Below are 12,261 nucleotides of genomic sequence, written 5' to 3'. Positions count from 1 at the left end.
TGCTTTCTGCATTTAGAAGACAGGCAGGCTCTAGGCATATGTTTATACTGGCATTTTCTTGTTAATTAATTCTTCATCCTTTTCTATTTGTGGTCAGGGAAATCTTCCATGTAGTGAAGAGGAAGGGATAAGGTTTAAAACCAAAGGGATAGGTTTAGCATAGTATGAAAACCTTTGAAGTGTTAGAGAAAATACAAGGAGGGTAAAAAGATTTGAAGGAAACTGGGGATTTTGCTGATTGTGTTGATGTTTTTGATTCTGTCTGTAACTAATTCAATTGGCAAACACATCAGGACTCTGGGCTAGGAGCAGTAAGGGGGAAAACAGATTTCTGTCAATTTCTCTCCTCAAGGGACTCAGATTCTCACTTGAGAAATGGGACGGATGGGGCAGAGCTGCCAAGGTAAGAAAAATAATCCCCTCCATTAGGCAGTGTATTCTTAAACCAGATAAGTGACATGGACATTGAGTTCAGATGTAGGAGATATGGGGTGACAAGGGAAAGAGTCTCAGCGAAGCCAGGCCTTAGAGGCAAGTAAATGTGATTCAGCTTGTCGACAGATGAGGAGAGGACATGTGCATTCCAAGTGAGGAGTAACCTGAGCCAAGAGGCATAGTTAGACAACCATGGCTGGATTGAAAAGTTCTTGTTATGAAATAATGGCAATTAGATGAAAGGTATGTATTAGTCACCTTGGAAATGATTTTTAACATTGAATTTAAAGAAAGTCAGCTGAAAAGTCAATGCAAATTATTGATGGTTGTGGCTAAGGTGGATCAGCCCTGAATGTGAAGTAGCCAATGCAGTGGCCTTCAGTACCAACTGTCCCCAACCCACCCTCCTTCTTTGCTCTTCATTTCCATTTTCATGAGACCAATAAACATGACCAAAATTGCCATTAGAAGAATTTGAAAGGAGTTCCATTTGCTGTTGGCCCTTCTTCCAGGCCTACCAGGTTTGTGGTGACCTTACACTGTCTTGCACATCCCCTTGGGGTAGCGTCCCATATCCCTGTCCTTTATCACCTGTTGAACTTCAACTGTATCTATACTGAAGCTTCCACTTGTGTCCCACCTCTGTTTCCTAAGACTCCAGTTGGCTAAATTGATAAAATGATTGAGCTAATGGCTCCAAATGAATTCAAAAGAGAGAGTTAGACTCCCCCCACTCCACACACACACTTTTTAGACACTAGATGTCAGGTTTGATTCTGGTCACTAGAAGTAGTTCTTTTGCACAAATCCAAAGAAGTAATCCTAATGGTAAGAAATACAAGCAGGACAGGGGGATGTACGGGAGCTTTCAGCTTTACCAGCAGGTGAATGCAGGAGATGCTCTGCTCAAAGTGTATCCTAACCTTGGAAGTCTTGCTGCAACTTTCTCCCTATGAAAAACACTACTCCCTTTCAAAGGTCAACTAAAATATCACCACCCTTGGGAAGACTTCTTCAACACCTAATAATAATTAACTGCTTGTTCTCCCTATCATCTTTAATAAAACTGTTTCTCTTATTATATTTAATTTACAAATGAGAAAAACCAAAGTTTAAAGCAGTTAAGGACATGTTCAAGATCACGGAGGTAGTAAGTGGTTAGAGACATGGGGTCAAAACTCTTAACAACCAGTTAATCCATTAAAATTTTATCTCTTCCTCCTCTGAGCCCCTGAAGCATTTTGCTTGTGCCTTTATCACAATAACAACTAGAACGGTCTGTTTTGGACTACGATAAAATGTATACTCCACAGTTGGCCTCAGTATATTACAAACTCCTTGAGTTTAAGTACCATGTCTTATTCATCATTTTATCACCCATAGTACCTATTGAGTACCTGATAAGAATAACGTGCTCAATAAGTTTCATTTGAACTATTGAAAATAAATCAAGAGAAAGCATGACAAAAATTTCCTTAAAGTTGTCATTGTTATTTTTTTCCATATTCACCTGTGGATATGTGTGTGTGTGTGTGTGTGTGTGTGTGTGTGTGTGTGTAAGATTCAGGGAAAACTTATCGGCCTAAGTTCATGTCAGATGCCTGTGATTTTGCCTGCTGTGCATAGTATGGAGGTAGAAAACACTGCAGAAATAGGTCCATGAAGCCACTGTTATTTTACAGAGGAAATAACCCTGAAATATCTATGGGCTGTATCCATAGAACTCCCAGAGAACAAAGCCAACTGCATTTCTAATGTATGTCCCTGACAGGATTCCCTCCACATTTATTATTTAGTGTAAATTATATGAAAATGATTTTTTAGCTTTCTCCTCCTGGCTTTATCTTTTATATAAAAAGGAATTCAACCCTAACTCCAGTTGTTTTCAGTAAGGGGTAGGGATTTTAGAGGAATTTTAGCTTCCCTTTCTCTTCTTGCAGTAAACACTATGCAGATAGGTTTTGGAAGATCAAAACGCATCTTGATGCAGGTTCAAGAGCGGCTCCCTTCTTCCCAGCTCAGTAGAGTAAAATACCCTTGAAAGATGTCCGTGGCCTTTCCTTGGCCTGAATTGCCAATCCAGATAGTCACTTTCTAGAATCAAAGCCCTGAGTCCAGACATTATTTACCCACCTCTTGTTTGGATGCTAGGTTTATTCCAAAACATCCTTCAGCTGAAAAAGTTGTTTCGAATCTGTGTCTAGGAGTATAATCTCCCCACTTCCCCCAGAAGCTGTCCAACTCTTTCTCTTAAACTAAAAAGTAGATACATTCTAGCACTATGCATAGCTCATTGTAGGTACTCACACCAGATATAGCCACACTTTATTTCTCTTACGCAGATTAACAAATTCACCAAATGTAAGTCACCTTCAAGAGACAGCAAAAGGAAGGCCCGAATCAGTTTTGTTTTCATTAGTGCTACACTTTGCCTCTGTCCAATTCAGGACCCACACATCTTTAATTCATATGTATCGCAGGCTAATAAGCAACAGAGAGATGGCTTAGTGTACAGGGTCTGGTATCAGAGAACTTGGATAAAATCCCAGCTCTGCAGCACATTACCTCTGTAAAATCAGAAAAGTTACCCAACCTCACTGAGTCTAGGTTTGTAATATGGATGTACCACAGTGACTGCCTCATAAGGCTGTTGAGAGGGTTAAATAAAAGAATGACCACAAAGCACTTAGCACACTGTCTGTTCTATACATTTGAGTTATCTCATAGTGTGTGTGTGTGTGTGTGTGTGTGTGTGTGTGTGTGTGTGTATTTTTCTGTGTTGCCCAGGCTGGTCTTGAACTCCTGGGCTTAAGTGATCTGCCCACCTAGGCCTCCTAAAGTGCTGAGATTACAAGTGTGAGCCACTGCACCTGACCTCATAGTGTTTTTATCATCATAATCAAGTTCTTCCCATGTCAAAGTGAAAAGGCAGCATGAGCTTGACTGCCCTTCTCATGTTACCATGTATCAGATGTGTGGGCTCAGGTAAGTCCCCGAATATCTCAGAACCTGAGTCTTACCTTCTCATGTGTAAAATGGCTAATAATAATAACCACTTCATTGGGTGGTCATGAGCACTGGATACTAATGTTTGTAAAAATCCTTAGCACATAGTCTCACTACACTAATGCACTTAATAAATATGATCATTACAATTTATTAGCAGGTATATGAGTATCATATTATTAGTAGTAGTAGTATCATAGTATTAGTATCATATTAATAATATTATCATCACATTATCATTAGCATGCATATGAGTATCATATTATTATTAGTAGGAGTATCATATTAGTATCATTAGTATCATATTAATATTATTATTATCACATTATCATTACTATCAGTCAATTGTATGCTTTTAGGAACAATGGCAGACTTCTCTAGAACATCCATCTCTGGCTTTCCCTAACTTTCCAAATGGTTTCAGATGCTGAACACCTAAAGCAGCACACCAGGTGGCATTATTTTGCCACTGGAAACACAATACCAGTGTGTGAGCAGAGTGACCAGCCATTTGGCTAAAAATATTTCCATGGAAACCTGCAACTGAGCTTCTCAGTCCTGGGAACTGTTCTCCTCCCTTCCTCTTTCTTTCACTCTCACGTATTGAGTATATAGGCATCTGCCACTAATGAATAACAGGAACCTTGATCCTAGGTTTAAACAATGCTCTCCTAAATTTATCTCTCTTCTGAGAGTTGTTTGAGTTCTTTTCTTTTCTCTCCCTATTTTAATTTTGTTGGGAAGACAGGTACCCTGCTCTGACTCAGTGATAGGCATCTCTTGTTTGTGACATGGTACTTTAGCGTTAGAGAGGAAAGACATTTGTACTCACTCTCTCTGCTTCCTCAGACTCTGTTTACTTCTCAGCAAATAAATGTCTGCTTTGTAACCCTTGCTCCCCAATGTGTACACACACATACAATTCTCTTTTTTCAAACACATGCTTCCTTAGATGACTAAAACTTATTAGACAATAACTTTTTCTGCTTTACCTCCTGTCTCTTTGATTGTTCCTTCTCGTTAATTTTGATGAGTTCCTTTCCTCCATGCTTATGAAAGATTTCTTCCAAATTCCACCTCCTTCTTCATAAATGTACACTTCCCCCAGGATCCTTGTCTTTATGAATAGATCCACTCATTTTCTCAAGCCAGTAAGCTGGACAGAGTCCTTGAATTCTTATTCTTCTCCATCAACAAAACCACACACACACACACACACACCAGAAATCACTAAGTTCTGTTGATCTCACTGTCTTATTATTTCTTGAATCCATATATATCTCCTTATTTTTATTACCCTAGTACAGGCCACCATATGTCTTACCTGAATTACTGCAACAGCCTCTTAATTTGTCCCCCATTGCTAATCTTATTTCATATCCTTCAAATTCGTGTCCATAGTTTAGCTAAAATGATCTTTCTAGAATGTATGTGTGATCTGTCTAGAGCACCATTTAAGCCTCCCAGTGCTTTCCTTGTCTCTCTAGCTTTTATCCGTCACCAAGCCCAAACTCCACATTCTGACCATAATACGTGCTTTCTAAGTTCCACCATGCCATGATCTCCTGTTTCCATACATGCCCTTTGCTCTTCTTTAAACCTCTCCTACTTGTTTCCTGTTATCTCAGTGTTATAAATAAAAAAAGAATAAAATAAAAATAAACCATCCTCACCTTCCTCAAAGAACTTAACTTCGCACACAACATAACCAGCTCCTTGTCCTGTGGGTTGCAGTGGCAAAAGTTGCTTCCTTCAGGAAGCCTTCCCGATATGCCCAGGGTTTAATCTGGTAATCCTCCTATGTGCTCACAGACTTACCCCATGAGAATATTCATCTACATTGTAATTGCCAATCAGCTTTCTGCATTCTTCACTGTAAAATTATTCATGATGAATAAGAAGGAACTATATAATTTTTATTCATGAATATAGATATAGGGGTGTGTGTGCGTGTGTGTGTGTGTGTGTGTGTGTGTGTGCGCGCCTCTGAGATTCCTCAGCACTGTGATTTGTTCCACCTTGGTAAAAAAGGGAAAGATGTGAAGAAATAAAGGAAATGGTCAAAGAAACCTAATCTAACCTCACAGATAGAATGAAGAGACGGATGCTGTCACACAGGACATCACCAAAAAAAAATCATTTACTAACATCTATGTGGATTTTATGCCTAGAAATTCTTGGCTGCTTGGTTTACTTTATAACTGCTAAGTTTTCATTCTTTTTCTTGCTTGTGTTTAATTGCCTGACTTTTAAACAGGTACATTTGTAGTTGTATTAGTTGAAATTTCAAGCATACCTGTAAACAACATTAAATGCCATTTTGTTTATGGAAAATATTGTGAGCCTTTTCCCCTCACATTATTTGTGTTCGTTGATGCTTTACTCAACACAACAGCAGTGTCCACACTACGAACCAAATGTTCAAATTATCTTGTGCTTATATCTCCAAAAGCACGAATTCCTACCTGTTAAGTTGCAATTATATCCTATTAGCATAAGTGTTTTAATTTTGGATCACTGTTTCTTCAGTCCCTAAATACATAATTGGGGGAGGGACACCTAACAAAAAGCTGACAACAAAATGAATCAAAATTTAGCCATCCTCCAGAGATTAAAACAGATAATCAACAATATGATAATTGGTCCAAGTTAGTTGCTTCAGTGTGCTTGAGTGATAAAGAGTTATGACTGGTGACAATTCTGATTATTAGAGTGATGACGATGATGATGATGATGATGATGATGATGATGATGATGGTAGTGGTGGTAAGGGTGATGATAGCCAACATTTTATAAGTTCCCATAATATGCCAGGCAAGATGAGACATCTTTTTACATTGATAATTTTCTTCCATACTTATGATAAGCCAGAAAGATAGATGCTTTCAGTATTACTATGATTCCTGTTTTACAGATGAGAAAACTGAGATTTGTAAATGTTAAGAAGGTCTTGCAGCTAGTTATAGGTTGGAAAGAAATCAAATTCAGATTATTTAATAAAAAAGACCTTGTGTATGACATCATGCCAAGGAAATTCTACCAAAGTGAGCTTTAATACTCATGGGGCCCTATCATCTTCTATTTAGATTTGTCAACATTAGCAGGCAACACTATTTACTTCTTTTCTTGGTATTTTGCTCATCATTACAATACATTATGAGGCTTCAGCTCTAGAAAGATCTGAGGAATAAAGAAGCAGTTTCCTTCAGGGCTTTTCTTATTTCAAAAATAGAATGCTTTGTTTAAAAATGCAAACATAGTACATGACTTTTTTCAAAAGTTATTGTACCAGATGCCATTTGTAACACATGATAAACAACCAAGACTTTAAAAATACAAACACTTAGGTATAATTTACTTTTACATTCAAATACTTAATTTATATCAGTCAATTCATAATTCCTCATCGGTCTTTTCCAAATTATTTACCTTCTCTATGCCTCCATATTCTGATTTGTATAGTACAATAATATTATTAGCAAGCTTACTGGGTTGTTGTAAGATTTAACAGAGATAACTTAAGCAAAGCACTTAGTACCATGTCTGAGACATATAGTAGGCACTCAGTGAAGGCCAACTATTGTTATTATTAGAACTTAAACATTAGAAATTCCTTTTATAATTTACCCTAAAGGCAATTAAACATTCTATAAGGTGATTTCAAAGTTAGAGAGCAGCTTGTCACCTATAACTCCTTTTGGTGGTTTGTCATATGTCTCAATAAGCCACAGCCAATTGTCCTCCTTGAAGATTTGTAAGCTTAAATAAATGGTATATCTGGCATTGCTTTCCTAATTTCTAATTAGCTATAAAAGTCTACTTCTCCTTCTGCCTAGCTTGCTTATTTAACCATGGAGCAGAGAACAGAAAGCTACTTGTAGAGATGTTTCTACAACAGCAGCAATAATTCTGTGACAGTTTTTAAATTTGAATTTCTGGGTCCAAATTTCTTTTTTTTTTTTCATACCTCATATGCATTAGGGTGCACATTTATTTCTTAGGCTTGGTGTGTATGACATACATACACATGCACACACACAAACACACACATACAAATACATAAGCATTTTTTTCTGCTTTTTTGGATGCCTGTGGGAGCCCTGTGGCATAGTTTCTGTATAGCTGGGCCTGGGCTTGACTCTTTCCATCAGAAATTTTCATCAACAACTCTTGACTTTACTAGCTGCTACTTGGCTTCATTGTTAGGCTATTTCCACACGGATATGGGATGATTGTGAAAAGTCAGGAGCTGTGACAGAGACAGTAATACACACCTTCCTTTTACTTGCAGTTCAGTGGGCTGTGTCATTAGTTCTAGACAGTGCACTGCAGAAGGAAGTGACCCATGTCACTCTCAGGCTGATGCAGTGAAAAGTTCATGCTTGAAGTCCCCCATGCCCAATATTATTTTATCTACAACATTGACCCAGAATTGTTCTACCTGCAATATTGACAAAAGAGGCCATGTGCCCCCAGTGGTACAGGTCCTTGATGATAATTTTAATCAGGCTGGACACATAAGTCACCATGTGGTGAACCTCTTAGAACTACGGTGAACTTTGTGTAAGAGAGAAATACAGAAATAAATCTTGAGATGTTAATCTCTAGTGATTTGGGGATTTTGTTATTATAACAAAAACATATTCTATCTTAACTAAAATGAAGGCTATCAACTTGATAGCTTACAAATCCTAAAGCAAAAGGTTGTCTCTCTCAATTGTTTTGCAGTGTATTTCATAGGATTCTTATAGGCCCGTATGAGTAACAAAATGATTCCTAAACCATCAATGTGACTGCTATGGATGAGTAATCTGAGTGTCTAGTCCTATGTGATGATCCACACCCTACTTGGAGAAGAAAGGATCTGAATATACTCAACATCATCAGATGGACTGGAAAGGACTACTCTGGAATGATGGAGGATTAGTTATCCAAAGCATGCTATGTTTATATAGTGGAGCTCTGATAGTTTCCTGAGACCCATCTCTTGTTGGCCTGTAGTGATCTTGCTCTAATAACAATATAGTGAAGAGGAATAATATATTTGCTCTTTCTAAAGTGCTTAAGTGACAGTTTGGATTTTTACTTTTGATCAAACACTTTACTAGAAACATGAACCATGCAGTGGGGATTGGAGAATGTTGTTAAATCCCAAAAGATACAACTAATCTTTTATTTTCTTTTATCAGCTACATGCAATGCCTCACCTTAAATTCAATTCAAAAAACCCATAAAGAGAACTTGCTAACTAAAATACATCGTGTTCAATGGTGTGGCGCAGTGGTTGCCAACCCTTTTGATACTAGGGACCAGTTTCGTGGAAGACATTTTTTTCCATGGACTAGGGGTGGGGAGGATAGTTTGGGGATGATTCAAGTGCATTACATTTTTTGTGCACTTTATTTCTATTATTATTACATTTTATATAATGAAATAATTATACAACTCACCATAATGTAGAATCAGTGGGAGCCCTGAGCTTGTTTTCTTGCAATTAAACAGTCCCATCTGGGGGTGATGGGAAAGAGTGACAGATCATCAGGCATTAGATTCTCATAAGGAGCATGCAGTCTAGATCCTTCGTATCCACAGTTCACAATAGAGTTTGAACTCTTATGAGAATCTAATGCTGTCACTGATCTGACAGGAGGTGGAGCTCAGGCAGTAATGTGAGTGATGGAGAGCAGCTGTAAATGCAGATGAAGCTTCACTTGCTTGCCTGCCACTCACCTCCTGCTGTGCGGTCCAGATCCTAACAGGGCATGGATCAGTACCAGTCCATGGCCCAGGGGTTGGGGACCACTGGTGTAGAGGATAGGGCCAGTGGGACAAAGCATGAGAATAGTTTGATTAATATAAATGGGAACCCAGAATAAGGAATACTTCTGATTTTTGGAAGTAGAAAAACTGAAAGGAAAAAGAAGAACAATTGGGATGGGCCCTGAATAGTTAACATGATGTCTACAGCTAGAAAATGGATAAAATGCCTTTCCAGCCTTGGAGACCAGCATGGGAAAGAAGCATGAGTCTTTATGGTTGTTGGTGCCATGGGAGAATGGTCCCAAAGTGTACAGGATGGGCAGGAAACAAATGATAGGCTAAAAGGGTGATTGAACAGAATCTAACAGGGACTTTTACAGGTAGTGGGATGGATTTATGGAATTCAGGAAAGGCTGGTACAATGCCCCATGACTAGCAATAGCAAAGAAATAGTCAAGTCAGATAATCTGGGACAATATTGGCACTCAGCACGTTAAATTGGTGTTTGTAAGACAGAGTTTCTCAGGTCTTTTAATATACTGATGTACACTCTGAATCTCATAAAAGTGGAATATAATAATATAGCATTTCCAAAATGCATTTGACCATGAAACTTTTGAAATACAGCATCTCTTGGTACTATATAGAGCTCGGTGATGCATATTCAGGAATGATGGCTTGGCATAAACTCATTTATTCTGTTTTGTCTGACTATGTATTATATACTTACATCGTATATTTTAAGCTATTGAGAACAGGAAGGTTCCTTCTGAATTCTTTTCTACCCCATAGCACTTTATTGCTGGTGGGTTGTAGATGGTGAGCAAAGAAGAGGCCTCTATCTGAAAGGGATCAAAGAGTCAAAGTAGGGCATGGAGACATACAGGTAAAGCTGAATTGTGGGCAGTGGTGTTATTGAAGAACAGTAATTAGAAAGGTACATGGTACTTTTGAAAAGATTAAGCCACATGGAGGAATCAAGTTAGAAGTGAAAGTTGTAAAAAGACCTTTAGGATGGTGTGGTAGCCATACACAGAAAATGTGGCCAGTTTGCCAAAGCAGTAAGCAGCTTCGTGGGACAAAAAACAATAGTGTCCTTTTTTATGGCTGCATAGTATTCCATGGTGTATAACGTACCACATTTTCTTTTCCAGTCTATCATTGATGGGCATTTGGGTTGAGTCCATGTCTTTGCTATTGTGAATAGTGCTGCAATTCAGGGACATGAATGGAGCTGGAAGCCATTATCCTCAGCAAACTAACACAGGAACAGAAAACCAAATACCACATGTTCTCACTTATAAGAGGGAGTTGAACAATGAGAACACAGGGACACAGGGAGGAGAACAACACACACTGGGGCCTGTCGGTGGCAGAGGTTTGGGAGAGGGAGAGCATCAGGATAAATAGCTAATGCATGTGGGGCTTAACACCTAGGCGATGGGTTGATAGCTACAGCAAACCACCATGGCACACATTTACCTATGTAACAAACCTGCATGTCCTGCACATGTATCCCAGAACTTAAAATTAAATTAAAAGAAATTAAAAAATAACAATAGTGTCAATGAGGATGAATGGAATTTATCCCCCAAAAGCATGTTCCTTTTCATGTCTCAGGCTCCTTCTCCCATGGCCATTTATTTTTTATCCTAAATGTATGTAAAATTGAATGTTGTGCTTAGCACTGTATTTTCTAAAAAAACATTGTAACTGGTGGAAATCCAAGAATCATTTGCCAATGACTGAAGAGTAATGTAATAGTTTATCAATGTATCACTCAAAGATTCAGTGAACAGAATATTTACTATTATTTGCACAGAATGGTGTTACCTACTCCCTTCTCCCATATTTTATAAATAACAAAAGTAAAGCAGAGTGTGCAGGATGCCAAAAATAGTGTTTAAATGACTGAAACAGGAAATCAGAAAGGAAGGATCCTTTTGAAATATATATAATTAAAACAGGACAGACATTCTTTAACTAATATTCCATATGCAGTGTATGCACAGAGTACACACAGACAGCCAATATTTTCTATTCTCTCATCTCTTTGTCTATTCCAGATCCCTGCTCAGGAACCCACTGTGGGCCAATCAACAGCTTCCCAAAACGAGTCAGGGAGTTCCAGAAGCTCCCATTCCGGTGCCAGCTGAGAATCCATTTGGATAATAACGGAGTAAAAACTCTGGTTTGGAGAAAGTTTCTGTAATGTTTTTCTTTTTCCTTTTTGGTGGAAGGGAGAATAAAGGAGGATATTGCCTGGTAAGCATGCAAAGAAAAAAAGTCACGCCAATTTCACTAGAATTGCCCAGAACCTCAACTCTGGTGAACTGCAGGTGACAACACTTCACACTGTTTACATGATTGGGGCTTCCCTGGAAACTGCGCTGACCCTGAGATGATTGAACATTTAGAGTAAAACCCTTGATGTAGTTCATAAAATTGGATTCAAATGAAAAGTTTAATGTGGAGTCATTCAAAAATAACACTAAGAGCTCTTCCCTGAATTCAAAAGAAAAAGGAAGGAAAACATGTTAGTCTTAGCAGGAGCCAAGGCTGCAGGTGGGGGAAGATGGAGAGGACAGTGTTTGGGTTTTATTATGTTTACTTTTCTCTTACGGAAGAATAGAAGATGGATGACTTGATGCCTGAGGTAATTCAGTATGTTTCACCAATTTGGAGATGGTCATTTGTCCATACTTAAGTCTCAGTAATTATGTTGAAATATTATAATTTCTGTAAGCTGGGAAGGTTACAATGTGGTGGTTGTCATTGCCCGGGCATGCACAAACTTGGTCGTGATTCCTGGTGGCATGATTAGACAGACAACTGCAACCCCTTGACACTTAATTCCAGAAATCATTTAAGAATCACTTGAAAAAGGAATATATTATTGTTCTCCTTCCAATAACCAAGTGTCTTCTGAAAACCTTTCATTGTCACTTTCTGGTAATTGAACAATGAGAACACATGGACACAGGAAGGGGAACATCACACACTGGGAACTGTTGTGGGGTGGGGGGAGGGGGGAGGGATAGCATTGGGAGATATACCTAA

This window comes from Homo sapiens, chromosome 10 (assembly GCF_000001405.40).
Source record: "Homo sapiens chromosome 10, GRCh38.p14 Primary Assembly".
Taxonomy (NCBI): domain Eukaryota; kingdom Metazoa; phylum Chordata; class Mammalia; order Primates; family Hominidae; genus Homo; species Homo sapiens.
The sequence above is the reverse complement of the archived record's forward strand: the minus strand, read 5'-3'. Positions refer to the sequence as shown.